The sequence below is a fragment of the Homo sapiens genome, chromosome 14 (assembly GCF_000001405.40).
Source record: "Homo sapiens chromosome 14, GRCh38.p14 Primary Assembly".
NCBI lineage: Eukaryota > Metazoa > Chordata > Mammalia > Primates > Hominidae > Homo > Homo sapiens.
Window position 1 is genome coordinate 39,339,458 of NC_000014.9, and position 18,231 is coordinate 39,357,688.

Genomic DNA, 18,231 nt, shown 5'->3' on the forward strand with positions numbered 1-18,231 from the left:
ATTAAAATGTTAACTCTATATTTTTTGTTCTAAATATATTTTTAGGATCTATGTGCTATAGTTTGTTTCATTTTTACAAGAATTTCTACTGAACATCTTATTCAAGATGTTGGGATAAAAGATAAATTATTAAAAAGGTGTAGTTATGTATTTCAATGATGAGTTAATATAATGAAATGAATGTAATACTGAAACAGATCTTTTTCTACAACAGCTCTGTCCAATAGAGCTTTCTGTAATAATAGAAATGTTTTATATCTATACTGTCCAGTACAGTAGCCACTAGGCACATGTGGCTAGTAAATACCTAATGTGTCTAGTACAACTTGAGAAACAGAATTTTTAATCTTATTGAATTTTGTCAGTTAAAATTTATTTAATTTTCTTTATTATTTTGTTTTGTTTTGAGACAGAATCTCACTCTGTCATCCAGGCTGGAGTGCAGTGGCATGAACACAGCTTACTACAGCCTCGACCTCCTGGGCCCAAGTGATCCTCCTGCTTTAGCCTCCCAAGTGGCTGGGACTATAGGCATGCACCACTAATGCCTAATTTTTAAATTTTCTGTAGAGACGGGGCCTCACTATGTTGCCCAGGCAGGTTTCGAAATCCTTGGCTCAAGCAATCCTCCCACCTTGGCCTCCCAAAGTGCTGGGATTACAGACGTGAGCCACCACGCCCTCCTTCGTACCCTTTTGAGCTTTAGTATTCCTAGTTTTCATTGTTTAAAAGAACAAGGAGTGTGTATGTGGTTTCTCCTTATTTTTGTTGGTGCTTATCTTTTACTGATTTGGATAATATATTTTATGTAAGCATAGCAAAGAGACTAAGCAACCATACCTTGGTGGTGTAATCATGAGTTAAGTGTGGTTGCTAGCCTGGCATGTTTAAAAACTCTTTTTCTTAAAGAGCTGAACAAATAAGAGACATATAGTGTACAGCTAAATTGATGAGAACAGTTTTGACTCTTTCCTTGGGAAACAAAAGTGTGCTAAGCAGATCAAAATACCTTGGATAGCTTTGAATGCATAGGCGTAGATTTTTACTTCACTGACTCTGATTCATAGACATTTATGCTGACCATTGTCCTACATTCTGAACAGTTTTTTCAGACAAGACTGATTTAGTAGAATTATAGTTTGTCTTAAGGCTCATTTTGATCTCTTTGATGAAAACTTGTGGTCTTCCCAAACTTAATAAGGTGTTCTGAAGTCGTGGTATATATGCTTTTATCCTCTCAGAGGATGATATTTACTTAAAGTTGTTCCTAAATTTTAGGCTACCAGTTTTTTAGGAATATATATATCTTAATCACTTATGTCTTATATAATGATCCTTTATAAATTCTAATGATTATTCAGTTGATAAATTGCCACTGTATGTGTTTTTATAAACTTTAAAAATCTGTGTTTAATTTGTCAGTCTTCCTGAAGAGACTAGGTTGTGGAGAGATTAAGATACAGGGACAAATGTAAACAACTTTTTGAAAAATTTCACTTTGAATGAAAAAGAGATGGTAGCTGGAGGGAGAGGTGTTTTGGTTTTTAAAGATGGATAATATTGGCTGGGCATGGTGGCTTACGCTTGTAATTCCAGCACTTTGGGAAGCTGAGGCGGGCAGATCACCTGAGGTCAGAAGTTCAAGACCAACCTGGCCAACATGGTGAAACTCCGTCTCTACTAAAAATACAAAAATTAGCCGGGTGTGGTGGCACGCGCCTGTAGTCCCAGCTGCTCGGGAGGCTGAGGCAGGAGAATTGCTTGACCCTGGGAGGGAGAGCTTACAGTGAGCTGAGACCGCACCGTTGCACTCCAGCCTGGGCAACAGAGTGAGACTCCCTCTCAAAAATAAATAAATAAATAAATGAATAAATAAATAAATAAATGATGGATAATATAACATATTTATTTGCTGATGGGAATAATTCAGGCTAGAAGGGGAAATTAATGATGTTTGGAGAAGGTCTGGTTATAAAAGTGAAACCCTGGAATATTAAGCACAAAAGATGCTATCCAGAGTGTAATTGCAGAAATTGTGGTAGCTGGGTCAATTTATCCATTCTAAAAAGAAGGAAGGCAGAGCAAGTGAGTACAGATGTAGCTGTTGGGTGGAGGGTAAGTGGAGGTGTCCAGTTGTTTCAATTTTCTTGTTGTGGCAAGATCATCAGCTGAAGCAGGTGGTAGAGGAGAGGACTGTCAGATCTGAAGAGAAAAAAAGGTATGCAGTAGCTATTTAGGAGAGTGGAAGAACTCAAACATTAGTAAAGTGTAGTATGATTATAGGGCATTGTTGAGCATCAGTTTGAAATTTATGGTCATAAATTTGAATGAAAAGCAGTCAATACTATATTTTTAATATAGTTTATAATCATAACAAGCTTAATTTATCATCAGATATTGATAAAGCTGTATATAGAATGTATTTGTGTCAGACTAAATGCCTTTTATTAATCATTCTAACACTCTTAAGAGTGTTATTCTGTTATTCCCATTTTACAGATGAAGAAACAAAACCACAGAAAGGTTGGGTAACTTGGTGAACAACACAAATTGAGATTTAAAAAAAAAATTTTATTATACTCTAAGTTTTAGGGTTCATGTGCACAACGTGCAGGTTTGTTACATATGTATACATGTGCCATGTTGGTGTGCTACACCCATTAACTAGTCATTTAGCATTAGGTATCTCTCCTAATGCTATCCCTCCCCCCTCCCCACAACAGTCCCCGGTGTGTGATGTTCCCCTTCCTGTGTCCATGTGTTCTCATTGTTCAATTCCCACCTATGAGTGAGAACATGCAGTGTTTGGTTTTTTGTCCTTGCGATAGTTTGCTGAGAATGATGGTTTCCAGCTTCATCCATGTCCCTACAAAGGACATGAACTCATCATTTTTTATGGCTGCATAGTATTCCATGGTGTATATGTGCCACATTTTCTTAATCCAGTCTATCGTTGTTGGACATTTGGGTTGGTTCCAAGTCTTTGCTATTGTGAATAGTGCCTCAATAAACATATGTGTGCATGTGTCTTTATAGCAGCATGATTTATAATCCTTTGGGTATATACCCAGTAATGGGATGGCTGGATCAAATGGTAGTTCTAGTTCTAGATCCCTGAGGAATTGCCACACTGACTTCCACAATGGTTGAAACAAATTGAGATATTATAGCACAATCCTGGATATCACCCTTGAGAATTTACATATTAATATTTGCTTCAGATATATATGTGTTTGTGTGCGTAAATGTGTAAATAAGACATAAAAAGAAAAAGCACACTATTTACATGAATTGAACACTATTGCATTTCCTTTCCTGGGCATATTACCTTCCTCTCCTAGAAGCAGCTATTCATGAGTTTAGCGTGTGTAAACTTTCAGTTCTAATAATGATTAAAAAAAATTAAAGTTCTGTTTTATCAGCTTTCCTTATCAGCCTTACCTACTTGAATTCTTTCCATGTTAGTATATAGAGAGTTTATCACCTTAATTGTGGTATGGTATTTCAGTGTATAAGAAACCACAAAATGTTTAACCATTTCCTGTTGGTGAGCATTTAGAGTGTCTCCAATATCTCACCATTACTAACAGTGCTGCAGCTAGCACCCTTTTTGTACATATGTTCTTTCAAGATTGTCCAGGAATTGGAATTCCTAGGTAATAGGGTATGCACACTTTTGATCTTATTTTCAATTTTTATTTTTTTGGGACAGGATCTTGCTTTGTCGCTCAGGCTGGGGTGCAGTGGCGTGATCTTGGCTGACTGCAACCTCCGCCTCCTGGGTTCAAGCGATTCTTGTGTCTCAGCCTCCCGAGTAGCTGGGATCGCAGGCCTGTGCCACCACACCTGGCTAATTTTTTTGTGTTTTCAGTAGAGATGGGATTTCACCATGTTGGCCAGGCCGATCTTGAACTCTTGGCCTCAAGCAGTCCACCTGCCTTGGCCTCTCAAAGTGCTGGGATTACAGGCATGAGCCACCATGCCCGGCCTGTTTTTGGTTTTAATAGATATCTCCCCATCGCCCTCAACAGAAGCTGTGAATGAAGTATATGAGAGTAGCTGATTTCTGCAGTATAATTCTTAGTTTGCAAAACTGCTTTAGAATGCCCAGTACACTTATTCCCACTCCTTATTCATTTTTTTCTTATCTTTTTTTCTTCCATTCTTTCTTTCTAATCATGTCTTCTATTATAAGCGTAGAATACTATTATAGAAAACAAAAGTTTGAAAGCAAAAAAGAAAGGGACCTTTCATGTCCTTACTTTCTGTAGTTCAGTTCAGTCTTTAATTGGTCATATGCTTTCCACATAGCTGTATCTTATTATGTGTATATGTGTATGTGTATATGTGCATATGAGGGTGTGTGTATATGTGTGTATGTATGTGTGTATATGTATATGTGCATTTGACCAGAATACCCTTGATTACTTGTTCATCTTTACTTTTCTTTCAGGGCAAGCTTTACTGCCTCTGACTCCATTTCTGATTCCTGCAATCAGAAATAGATAGTCTACCTCTTATATTATGTATATTTCCTTTTATTAAGACATTAATCACATGGTGTTTATGTGTTTCTATCAGAATTAGACTGTAAGGACATGGGGTTTATCAAGGCCAACATTGTATTGTTTGTGCCTGACACATACTAGGCCTTGGTAAGATTTAAGGAATGAATTGCTTTTGCCAGTGGAGGGCAACATAGCCATGTAGTTTATAAAGTAGTAAATTTATAACAAAATTTTTTTATTTCTGAGGTTGTTGATGTGTGGGGATATAATTTAGAAGCAAAATAATGATGTAGTATCTGGAGACCTGATTAAAAAAGAGTTGGTGTTCAGGTTTCCTTATTTTATCCCCTTGTCCAACTCCACCATTTAATTAATCCTTTGTTTGAAGTAGAAAGGGAAAACTGAGTTTAGATCTCAGTGATTGGTATTGACCTTTTCTTTCATTAGGCTAACTCAAACCCTTTGAAACAGCTCCTCCCTAGGATTTTGAAAGGGAGTGTAAATGAGCCTTCAAACTATTTGTATCTTTCTCTCCTCAGTCACATCTCCCGACCATTGGGAGCTCATTAAATATAATTCTCTTTATTGACTCTCGTTGATGCCAGGTGGTCTCTCTGGTTTTGTGTAGGAGAGATGATGTGTCAATAAGGTCCCCTGTGGCAGAGTCAGATGAGGAGTGATATATCCAACACTGATTCTATAAAGTCAATTAGAGGCAATTTGGGGTTGTTTACGTATATCTGTAATAGGATAGGGGAAAGTTACACAATTCACCTTCTTTGTCGTTCTCCTTATTTTTGGAGTTGGACATATGCATGCCTAATCTAGCAGTCTGACATCACCTTTCAAGAATGAGAAACTACCTATACTTTTTCAAGAGTGATGAGTTCCACAAGGACCCAGGAATTATTAAACCGCAATTACTTTTGCACCAACCTAATACCATATTGTCATCATAAATCACCCCTGGGGACAAAGGGTGGCTGTAGAAGCACTTGAGATAGTTGGTGTCCAAATTTGTGTCTCTCCAGATGTTCTTCGTTTCAGCAGTGGTACTCATCTGTTGAGTCAGAGAGAGCTTTCCATTTAGTTTGTTTTTTATTTATTTTCATTTATTTATTTATTTATTTTGAGATAGAGTCTTGCTCTGTCACCCAGGTTGGAGTGCAGTGGCATGATCTCGGCTCACTGCAACCTCTGCCCCACTGGGTTCAGGTGATTCTTCTGCCTCAGTCTCCCGAGTAGCTGGGATTACAGACTACCATGCCTGGCTAATTTTTATATTTTTAGTAGAGACAGGGTTTCACCATGTTGGCCAGGCTGGTCTGGAACTCCCGACCTTAGGTGATCCACCCGCTTCGGCCTCTCAAAGTGCTGGTATTACAGGTGTGAGCCACCATACCCGTCTCTTTCCATTTGGTTTGGAATAGATACTAAATTCCAAAACGTCAATATTACTGAAAGTTTGACAATGATGACATCTGAATGATACTCTTTCTGCTTTGATGACAAATTATCACCTGTTCTGGTAAATTTCTTGCTGTGCTTACGTTTTTTCTCTTTACTTTTTCCTTATGTTAGTAGATGTTTCCTGGGTCTTTTTTGATACATTGATGTATTTACTTCCATCCATTATTAAAATGGAAAGTTAATTTACATATATATAAAACTAAATTCTGTTTTCACATATTCTAATTTACACATAGTAATTGAAATTTTCAAAATCCAAAGTAGCAGATTATGCTTGTGTTTACTATAAAGGTTATTGCCTATAGTAAAATATGCAATTCTTCTGAAATTGTCTACTGTTGTCAACCAAGAAGATGATGAGTTTAAGTGTTAGAATACAGGTCAAAAGTGTAAGTTCAATACGTTAAACTTAAGTAAACTTGATTTATATTTACATTAATGAAGACATTTTAAAAACTTATTTTCTAGGACAATCATATCCTGATTCAGCCCTTCCTCCACAAAGGCAAGACAGATTTTGTTCTAATTCTGGTAGACTGTCTGGACCAGCAGAACTCAGAAGTTTTAATATGCCTTCTTTGGATAAAATGGGTAAGAAGTACTTTGTGCTTTTCTTCTTTAAAAATTTTGGTGGCACACTAAAGAACTGGAAGTTAGAATAAAGACCAATATAATTGCTATCTCTAGTAGTTCCTAAGGCCAAAATCTCTTTCCTGAAAATGTCCTGGTTTTATGTTTCTTGTTATATTGTACACAGACATGGCATCCAAATATATGTTGGTGGGTTGGTTTGAGCACCATGGAAATAGGTTTACTCCATATACCTATGATGATAAATTTTACTCTGTTCTATGACTAATTTTCTAATTTTTCTAGTCCACTTACATGTGTTCTGTTTAGTAATCAGGGAAATAAGCCAGGCAAATGTGAATGGATACATAAAAACCCACCAGAAAACAATTTAGATGCATGCTCTGTTGATATTGTAATCAGTTATATTAAACATTTCATGCTTAGATATAACTAACATGTACTGAGCAATCTACTATTTGTCAGGCTGTCTTTTACTTAAACTACCTCATAGCAACCCATTAAAGTTGGGAAATAGATGTATGCAGTGTATCAACCAGAAGTACACAACGTTAAGAAAATAAAAATTTTTTTTAAAGTCAAGATTTAAATGTATTGGTAAAAGGTTTCCTCAGGAAAGGACATATATTTATATATTATTAAATATATATAATAAATAATGTTATATATATAATTTTAAAAATATTGATTTTCTGACATAGTAGACTATATAATATAGCTGGGACTACAGGTGTGCACCACCACACATGGCTAATTTTTTGTAAAGATGAGGTTTCGACATGTTGTTGAGGCTGGTCTTGAACTCCTGGGCTCAAGCAATCCACCTGCCTTGGTCTCCCAAAGTGCTGGGATTACAAGCATGAGACACCTTGCTCAGCCTGGAAAGTCAGTATTTTATTTTATTTATTTTTTAATTATTATTTTTGAGACAGAGTCTCTGTTGCCCAGACTGGAGTGCAGTGGCTCCATCTCGGCTCCACTGCAACCTCCGCCTCCTGGGTTAAAGAGAAACCCAGGAGGTTTCACTTGTGTCAAGCACAAGTGAAAAATGACCAGTAAGACAAGGACATTTATAACTGGCTGAAGTCATGGACTTTGGAGTCTAGTTAGTTGGGGAAGGAAGTGAGGGAGGAAACTCAGTGGTCAGAAGCATCAGTGACTTCCAAGGACAGATGTAGTGAGAATAAATGAGAAAGCTACAAGAGGAGAGGTAGTTGTGGTCAGAGAGGATTGCATTTCTTGATGATAACAAAGTTCGGGAACATTTATTTCGGAACAGTAGCTAAATTTCAGTAGCTAGTCTCTCTTACTTAATGGAGGAATAAGGACGGAAGGAAGAAGAGGAGGAAGGAGAAGAGGATAGGAGGCAAACATAAAAGGAGGGAGGAGGAAAAGAAGGAAGGAGGGAGATGCTTCCTCCCAGATGTCTTCTTAGCATTCTGCTCCAGCAGGATTGCTTAGGAACTAGCCAGAGAAATAATTGCCACATGCCATCATAGAACTCTGAGTCTGCCAGAATTTCTAGGGACCTCAAGCTGTTCTTGTGGCCGCAATATAGGATATTGGTGTCCAGCTGGCTTATGTGCCAACAAGGGGAGTGGGAAAATACCAATTTTGTGATCTGGAGATACTCTAGGAATAAAGTGATAAATCATGTACTTTTCATGGTTTAACTTTTATGTCTAGATGGGTCAATGCCTTCAGAAATGGAATCCAGTAGAAATGATACCAAAGATGATCTTGGTGTAAGTATTGAAAGAGTGGAATTGTATGCATGTATTCAGAAGCCTTCTTTTTTTTTTTTTTTTTTTTTTTATGGAGTTTCACTATTGTTGCCCAAGCTGGAGTGCAGTGGCGCTATCTCGGCTCACTGCAACCTGGGTTCAAGCAATTCTCCTGCCTCAGCCTCCTGAGTAGCTGGGACTACAGGCGTGTGCCACCACACCCAGCTAATTTTTGTATATTTAGTAGAGACGGAGTTTCACCCTGTTGGCGAGGCTGGTCTTGAAGTCCTGACCTCAGATGATCCACTCGCCTTGGCCTCCCAAAGTGCTGGTATTACAGGTGTGAGCTGCTGCGCCTGGCCCTGAGCCACTGTGCCTGGCCTGTGCCTTCTAATCTCATGCTTTACTAGAATAGAAATATAGCTAATAATCTAGGTTTTGATATAAAGCTGATTTTCTCTTTTTGATTAATATACTTTCTACTTAGCGTGAAAGCTGTTTCTTTTGTAGATGGTAACCTATGGTGATAAAATACAATTTGCAGACTAGGAGTTTGAGTTAGTTTAAGATTTTAGTTCCCTCCCCATCCTTGGATTTTTATTTGAATATTTTAAAGTATATTTTTGTTTATTAAGATATTGATTTTTGGAAAATATAAACATAGACATTTTGCTTTTTCTTTTTTTCCAGTATATATTTGATACAATAGTATATATTTTAGTGCTCTTGGGTTAAATTTCTGTTTTATCTTTAGCCAGACTGTTACTTTGTTGGTTAAAGCTGTTTTCTGTTGACTTAATAAAATATTTATGATAACTAAAATGTGATAGCTGATACATTACTGTGGAAAGCTGTTTGAATCTTTCTCTAGAGCTTTCTAAGACTATCATGGAATGCTTTCTGTCTAGATGATTTCTTCTAAGCCTGAGATTTTCGGGAAAATGATTGCAAATTTACTGTTTTAGTGACTGCCATATGTCAATTTGTTGTAGAATTTAAATGTGCCTGATTCATCTCTCCCTGCTGAAAATGAAGCCACTGGCCCTGGCTTTGTTCCTCCACCTCTTGCTCCAATCAGAGGTCCATTGTTTCCAGTGGATGCAAGAGGCCCATTCTTGAGAAGAGGACCTCCTTTCCCCCCACCTCCTCCAGGAGCCATGTTTGGAGCTTCTCGAGATTATTTTCCACCAGGGGATTTCCCAGGTCCACCACCTGCTCCATTTGCAAGTATGCTTTTTTAAACTTTTTTTTTAAAGCTCAATATGTGGTTTATTAATCGGAGATTTAATTTTACTATCTGTTAATGTAGTAACACAGTGGAGGAAAGTTTTTTCTAGCATTCTGTGAATCTGAAAATTCTCATTACTTTTCCGAATTGGGAAGGCAGCCAGCCATAAGTGGACTGCAATGAGGTTTCAGCTTGATTCATCTTAATAATATAGAATTATTTCTGTATTTTGGCAGTCAAGAAAATAATGGACTTTTTGCAGGTCTTACGATAAAACTAAAATTATCTGTACCTTATTTGGTAGCAACTGGTTATTCTGACAGTTAGTGAAAATAATAACTTATATTCTAGCATTAAAATTACTGGCTAAGATATTTTTTAAAGTCTTTTTCATAAGTAGTTCTGATGCAGTCCTACTTATTTAAAACTTAAAATGTATTTATTACGTTTGACCGAATTTTTGGATTTATTGAATTCTTTTAAAGCTTCACATAAGAAAAAGGGAATAATATGTTGCTTTTATATTCATACTTTACTGTTTTGAACTATAGGGTTCTGCAGAATAAATATGTGGTTACCAAATACTAGGCTTTGCCTATGAATGTCTCATATAGTCTTTCCTTCCCTTGTTTCTCTTCTCTTTTTAAAGTTAAAGGTGAATTAAAATGAATTTTGTTTGGGGAAATTTTAAGGTGGCCTTTGATATTACTGGAAATGTTTTAGTATAATATCAAATTAGAATTGGGAATCACTAATACGAATTTTAAGTTTGTTGAAAATTATATTACATGCAGATGTTTTTTGAGGACTTTGATAATGAAAGAAAAAAGTGATTTACAGTAAGTTTTATATATTTTGAAATAATTCCTCTTTTTTAAAAAACAGGTGTTAAGATAGGACAAAAATTACATAAAAATTAATGATATTTCCTTTAATCATCTGTATTTGAAGAGGTACGTTTTTCTCAATGTAAAAATTAATTTGTTAGATCAAGTAATTATCTAGTGTCAATTTTCAAATAAAAGAATAGGTAATGGAAGTTATAAACTTAATGATTTATTAGGGCACAGTACAGGTTCTTAAAGTTAAAAAATGTCTTTTACCAATCTCTTTGAACAGTGAGAAATGTCTATCCACCGAGGGGTTTTCCTCCTTACCTTCCCCCAAGACCTGGATTTTTCCCCCCACCCCCACATTCTGAAGGTAGAAGTGAGTTCCCCTCAGGTTTGATTCCACCTTCAAATGAGCCTGCTACTGAACATCCAGAACCACAGCAAGAAACCTGACAATATTTTTGCTCTCTTCAAAAGTAATTTTGACTGATCTCATTTTCAGTTTAAGTAACTGCTGTTACTTAAGTGATTACACTTTTGCTCAAATTGAAGCTTAATGGAATTATAATTCTCAGGATAGTATTTTGTAAATAAAGATGATTTAAATATGAATCTTATGAGTAAATTATTTCAATTTTATTTTAGACGGTATAACTATTTCAATTTGATTAATCCACTATTATATAAACAATAGTGGGAGTTTTATATATGTAATCTTTCAGGTGGGGAGGCTTTAAATTCTGAAGTCTGTGTCTTTATGCCAAGAACTGTATTTACTGTGGTTGTGGACAAATGTGAAAGTAACTTTATGCTTAAATAAATTATAGTTGATTTAAAGATTTGTTTGGCATTGATAATAATAAAATCAGTAGTTTTTCTATAACTATGGCTCTATTAACTTTTTTCCTTTTACCAATAACTTTGAGGTGCAAAACTCAAACTTATGTGGGTCTTTTGTGTTCAATTATGTTATGACAAATGTGCTCTCTTTCTTGTAAATAGACATGAGTGGCCCAAAGCAACAAATTAATACACTTTTAAAAGTCAAAATTGATTATATTTTAAAGATAACCAGGATATTATCTAATGGTGAATTGTAGAATTTTGATCTTCTTATTCACTGAGTTTCTTGCACGGTTTCTTTATTGCTTTTTTTTCCCCGCCTGTTCTTTTGTAAGGTATTTACTATTTTCTGTGGAGGATATTGAGATGTACTACAGGATAACTGTAGTGAATGATGTGTCATCATTTTGAGCTTTGGACTCAATATCTTTAGTGTTTCCCTAAATCAGATTTGTAGGTCATGTTAAGCTTCTTGCACATTAATATGATTATGGAAGGAAAGGCAGTGAAGCATAACTAATAAACATCATAATACTTAACGTTGCCCAGTTGGTTGTTTTAGTATTAGACTTTTTTTTCAATGCCAAAAGATAGAAGATTAAATATTCTTGAATAAAGCAGTGATATATATTGGAACACTTCACCCCAGCATTTCCCCAGGTGTTGTTTGGAACACTGATCTTGTGAAGTATTTTTGCTCCCTTTCTATTCTAACCCTCACCTCAAAAAAAAAAAACAAAAAACAAAAAACTAAAAAGAAATACTTGAACTGAATGCTTGGTTAAAATATTAAGTAAAATGAAGACTGTGAAAATGTAATTACATTTAGTGCTTACCGTGGTCTGAATGTGTTCCCCAAAATTCTTATGTTGAAATACTAACCCCCAAGGTGATGTATTAGGAAGTAGCCTTTTGGGAGGTGATTAAGTTATGGGGGTGGAGACTTCATGAATGGGATTTGTGCCCTTATAAAAGAGGCTCAAGGGAGCTTGTTCACCCCTTCCACCTTGTAGGAGTATGCAGCAAGAAGGTTCCATCTCTGAGGCAGGGAGCTAGAAACCTCACCGCAGTCTCCCAAGTAGCTGGGACTACAGGCGTCCACCACCACATCTGGCGAATTTTTTTTGTATTTTTAGTAGAGACAGGGTTTCACCATGTTAGCCAGGATGGTCTCAATCTCCTGACCTCATGATCTGCCTGCCTCGTTCTGCCAGAGTGCTGGGATTACAGGCGTGAGCCACCGCGCCTGGCCAGTTTATATTTCTTTCTCAGTAAATCCAGTGTCGTAATTCCTGAGTCACTCAGAAGGGAATGTTCTTAAACATCAAAGTCAAATGACCGATTTTTTTTTTACCTTTTATTTTATTCTTCCCTCATTTGGCAGTAATAGGCTAATGATACATTTAGTTTGCTTTATACTTAGGCCAGGTATACAATTTCCCCTTCTTACTGTTCCGATGAATTTTCTTCTTCTTTTTTGTCTCCTCAAATTAACCTTTATTATATCCAGATTTAAAAAAAATTCTCTTCAATATTGTTTTTGGCTTTTTTTTTTTTTTTGGTTGAATACTTTCATCATGGAGGCCTGCTGCAAACCATACTGGTTGCTCTCTTGGCCTGTGAACAGAGCCTGCCTTTTTACTAATTTCTTGGGATTGCTTCTCTGTTCCATGTGAATCATCTATCTTGGTGTTTTTATTTCTTTATTCTATTTTATTTATCTTGTCTTTGGTTTTGTTGGAGTTCACTCTCAAGTAAAATCTTAAAAAAGGATATATGCAATATAAAATGTGAATCCTTTGATGTCTGAAAATCTCAATTCCCCTTCTTCCTTTTACTGGTGTTAGTTTATCAGGGTATGAAATTGTAGGTCAGAATTTGGAGTATAGTCACCTCTTTGGTATCTGTGGGGGACTGGTTCCAGGACCCCCACAGATACCAAAATCCATGGATGCTCAAGTCTCTTATATAAAATGGCTTAGTATTTGCCTATAACTGTACTTCTTCCCATATATTTTAAATCACGTCTAGTTTACTTATTAATGCTGTATAAATAGTTGTTATACTGTATTTTTAAATTACATTTTTAAGGTTATTTAAATAGACTAGAAGTGTATATGTTGTACACAGAATGATATTTTGAAGTATGTATGCATGTAGAATCACTAAGTTGAGCTAGTTAACATATATTTTACCTTGGATACTCATTTTTTATATTGAGAATACTTCAAATTTAATCTTTTAGTGATTTTTCAAGTATTAAGATATTGTTATTAGGGTCTTCAAGTTGTACAGTAGATCTCTTGAACTTATTCCTCCTGCATGACTGAAATTTTGTATCCTTTGACCAGTATCTCCCCAGTTCCTCTTCACCCCACCCCATCCTCTTCCACTGATTCTTTTTCTTTTATTGGCACATAATATTTTACGTATTAGTGAGGTACATGTGAGTGTTACTTGCATAGACTGTGTAATGATCAAGTCAGGGTATTTGGGGGTATCCACCATCTTGAGTATTTATCATTTCTGTACATATGATTATCATTTCAAGTCCTCTTTTGTGATTACTTTGAAATATATAAAATATTGTTACTAAGTATCATCACTATCAAAATTATCAAAGATTAGAATTTATTTCATCTAACTGTATGTTTGTACCCATAACCAACCTCTCTTCATGTTCCCCTCACACCCAAAAGCCCTTTCCAGTCTCTGGTATCTATCATTCTATTCTCTGTGTACATGAGATTAAGTTTTTTAACTCCCCCATATGAGTGAGAACATGTGGTATTTATCATTCTGTGCCTGCCTTATTTCACTTAATTTAATGAATTCCAGTTCCATCCATGTTGCTGCAAATGATGTGATTTCATTTTTTATGACTGAATAGTATTCCTTTGTGTATATATACCACATTTTCTGTTTTTTTATTATACTTCAAGTTGTAGGGTACATGTGCACAATGTGCAGGTTTGTTACATATCTATACATGTGCCATGTTGGTGTGCTGCACCCATTAACTCATCATTTACATTAAGTGTATCTCCTATCCCTCCCCTCTCCCCTGACCCTATAACAGGCCCTGGTTTGTGATGTTCCCCTTCCTGTGTCCAAGTGTTCTCATTGTTCAATTCCCACCTATGAGTGAGAATATGCGGTGTTTGGTTTTTTGTCCTTGCGATAGTTTGCTGAGAATGTTGGTTTCCAGCTTCATCCATGTCCCTACAAAGGACGTGAACTCATGATTTTTTATGGCTGCATAGTATTCCATGGTGTATATGTGCCACATTTTCTTAATCCAGTCTATCATTGTCGGACATTTGGGTTGGTTCCAAGTCTTTGCTATTGTGAATAGTGCCGCAGTAAACATACATGCGCATGTGCCTTTATAGCAGCATGATTTATAATCCTTTGGGTATATACCCAGTAATGGGATGGCTTGATCAAATGGTAGTTCTAGTTCTAGATCCCTGAGGAATCACCACAATCACTTCCACAATGGTTGAACTAGTTTACAGTCCCACTAACAGTGTAAAAGTGTTCCTGTTTCTCCACAACCTTTCCAGCACCTGTTGTTTCCTGACTTTTTAATGATCACCATTCTAACTGGTGTGAGATGGTATCTCATTGTGGTTTTGATTTGCATTTCTCTGATGGCCAGTGATGATGAGCATTTTTTCATGTGTCTGTAGGCTGCATAAATGTCTTCTTTTGAGAAGTGTCTGTTCATATCCTTCACCCACTTGTTGATGGGGCTGTTTTTTTCTCGTAAATTTGTTTGAGTTCTTTGTAGATTCTGGATATTAGTCCTTGTCAGATGAGTAGATTGCAAAAATGTTCTCCCATTTTGTAGGTTGCCTGTTTATTCTGATGGTAGTTTCTTTTGCTGTGCAGAAGCTCTTTAGTTTAATTAGATCCCATTTGGCAATTTTGGCTTTTGTTGCCATTGCTTTTGGTGTTTTAGACATGAGATCCTTGCCCATGCCTATGTCCTGAATGGTATTGCCTAGGTTTTCTTCTAGGGTTTTTATGGTTTTAGGTCTAACATTTAAGTCTTTAATCCATCTTGAATTAATTTTTGTATAAGGTGTAAGGAAGGGGTCCAGTTTCAGCTTTCTACATATGGCTAGCCAGTTTTCCCAGCACCATTTATTAAATAGAGAATCCTTTCCCCATTTCTTGTTTTTCTCAGGTTTGTCAAAGATGAGATAGTTGTTGATGTGTGGCATTATTTCTGAGGGCTCTGTTCTGTTCCATTGATCTATATCTCTGTTTTGGTACCAGTACCATGCTGTTTTGGTTACTGTAGCCTTGTAGTATAGTTTGAAGTCAGGTAGCGTGATGCCTCCAGCTTTGTTCTTTTGGCTTAGGATTGACTTGGCAATGTGGGTTCTTTTGGTTCCATATGAACTTTAAAGTGGTTTTTTCCATCTGTGAAGAAAGTCATTGGTAGCTTGATGGGGATGGCATTGAATCTATAAATTACCTTGGGCAGTATGGCCATTTTCACGATATTGATTCTTCCTACCCATGAGCATGGAATGTTCTTCCATTTGTTTGTATCCTCTTTTATTTCATTGAGCAGTGGTTTGTAGTTCTTCTTGAACAGGTTCTTCACATCCCTTGTAAGTTGGATTCCTAGGTATTTTATTCTCTTTGAAGCAATTGTGGAGTTCACTCATGATTTGGCTTTCTGTTTGTCTATTATTGGTGTATAAGAATGCTTGTGATTTTTGCACATTGATTTTGTATCCTGAGACTTTGCTGAAGTTGCTTATCAGCTTAAGGAGATTTTGGGCTGAGACAATGGGGTTTTCTAGATATACAATCATGTCCCCTGCAAACAGGGACAATTTGACTTCCTCTTTTCCTAATTGAATGCCCTTTATTTCCTTCTCCTGCCTGATTGCCCTGGCCGGAACTTCGAACACTGTGTTGAATAGGAGTGGTGAGAGAGGGCATCCCTGTCTTGTGCCAGTTTTCAAAGGGAATGCTTCCAGTTTTTGCCCATTCAGTATGATATTGGGTGTGGGTTTGTCATAAATAGCTCTTATTATTTTGAGATATGTCCCATCAATACCTAATTTATTGAGAGTTTTTGGCATGAAGGGCTGTTGAATTTTGTCAAAGGCCTTTTCTGCATCTATTGAGATAATCATGTGGTTTTTGTCGTTGGTTCTGTTTATATCTGGATTATGTTTATTGATTTGCGTATGTTGAACCAGCCCTGCATCCCAGGGATGAAGCCTATTTGATCATGGTGGATAAGCTTTTTGATGTGCTGTGGATTCGGTTTGCCAGTATTTTTTATTGAGGATTTTTGCATCAATGTTCATCAGGGATATTGGTCTAAAATTCTCTTTTTTTGTTGTGTCTCTGCCAGGCTTTGGTATCAGGATGATGCTGCCCTCATAAAATGAGTTAGGGAGGATTCCCTCTTTTTCTATTGATTGGAATAGTTTCAGAAGGAGTGGTACCAGCTCCTCCTTGTACCTCTGGTAGAATTCGGCTGTGAATCCATCTGGTCCTGGACTTTTTTTGGTTGGTAAGCTATTAATTATTGCCTCAGTTTCAGAGCCTGTTATTGGTCTATTCAGAGATTCAACTTCTTCCTGGTTTAGTCTTGGGAGGCTGTATGTATTGAGGAATTTATCCATTTCTTCCAGATTTTCTAGTTTATTTGCATAGAGGTGTTTATAGTATTCTCTGATGGTAGTTTGTATTTCTGTGGGATCAGTGGTGATCTCCCCTTTATCATTTTTTATTGTGTCCGTTTGATTCTTCTCTCATTTCTTCTTTATTAGTCTTGCTAGTGGTCTATCAGTGTTGTTGATCTTTTCAAAAAACTAGCTCCTGGATTCACTGATTTTTTTGAAGGGTTTTTTGTGTCTCTATCTCCTTCAGTTCTGCTCTGATATTACTTATTTCTTGCCGTCTGCTGGCTTTTGAATGTGTTTGCTCTTCTCTAGTTCTTTTAATTGTGATATTAGGGTGTCAATTTTAGAACTTTTTCTGCTTTCTCTTGTGGGCATTTAGTGCTATAAATTTCCCTCTACACACTGCTTTGAATGTGTCCCAGAGATTCTGGTATGTTGTATCTTTGTTCTCATTGGTTTCAAAGAACATCTTTATTTCTGCCTTTATTTCGTTATGTACCCAGTAGTCATTCAGGAGGAGGTTGTTCAGTTTCCATGTAGTTGAGCAGTTTTGAGTGAGTTTCTTAATCCTGAGTTCTAGTTTGATTGCACTGTGGTCTGAGAGAAAGTTTGTTATAATTTCTGTTCTTTTACATTTGCTGAGGAGTGCTTTACTTCCAACTATGTGGTCGGTTTTGGAATAAGTGTGGTGTGGTGCTGAGAAGAATATATATTCTGTTGAATTCGGGTGGAGAGTTCTGTAGATATCTATTAGGTCCACTTGGTGCAGAGCTGAGTTCAGTTCCTGGATATCCTTGTTAACTTTCTGTCTCGTTGATCTGTCTAATGTTGACAATGGGGTGTTAAAGTCTCCCGTTATTATTTTGTGGGAGTCTTAGTCCCTTTGTAGGTCTCTAAGGACTTGCTTTATGAATCTGGGTGCTCCTGTATTGGGCACATATATATTTAGGATAGTTAGCTCTTCTTGTTGAATTGATCCCTTTACCATTATGTAATGGCCTTGTTTGTCTCTTTTGATCTTTGTTGGTTTAAAGTCTGTTTTATCAGAGATTAGGATTGCAACCCCTGCCTTTTTTTGTTTTCCATTTGCTTGGTATATCTTCCTCCATCCCTTTATTTTGAGCCTATGTATGTCTCTGCATGTGAGATGGGTTTCCTGAATACAGCACACTGATGGGTCTTGACTCTTCATTCAGTTTGCCAGTCTGTGTCATTTAATTGGAGCATTTAGCCCATTTACATTTAAGGTTAATATTGTTATGTGTGAATTTGACCCTGTCATTATGATGTTAGCTGGTTATTTTGCTCGTTAGTTGATGCACTTTCTTCCTAGCCTCGATGGTCTTCACAATTTGGCATGTTTTTGCAGTGGCTGTT

The 18,231-nt window shown here is 36.6% G+C and overlaps 1 protein-coding gene across 58 annotated transcripts in view; it reads left to right on the forward strand.

Moving 5' to 3' along the window:
- Positions 1–18,231, forward strand: part of MIA2 (MIA SH3 domain ER export factor 2) — a 154,608-nt gene that overhangs the window by 105,543 nt on the left and 30,834 nt on the right. For 44 of the 58 annotated variants that reach the window (NR_148722.2, NR_148723.2, XM_024449592.2 and 41 more), the window contains 4 exons: positions 6,447–6,569; positions 8,256–8,314; positions 9,286–9,520; positions 10,641–11,947. Coding sequence is in view for 55 of the 58 variants with exons in the window: in XM_024449592.2 (XP_024305360.1) it covers positions 6,447–6,569; positions 8,256–8,314; positions 9,286–9,520; positions 10,641–10,807 (584 nt within the window). In the remaining 3 variants the exon portion in view is untranslated. Of the gene's footprint in view, positions 1–6,446; positions 6,570–8,255; positions 8,315–9,285; positions 9,521–10,640; positions 11,948–18,231 lie in introns of those variants that run through there. The other 14 variants (NR_148721.1, NM_203356.2, NM_001247988.1 and 11 more) reach the window with 3 other exon arrangements.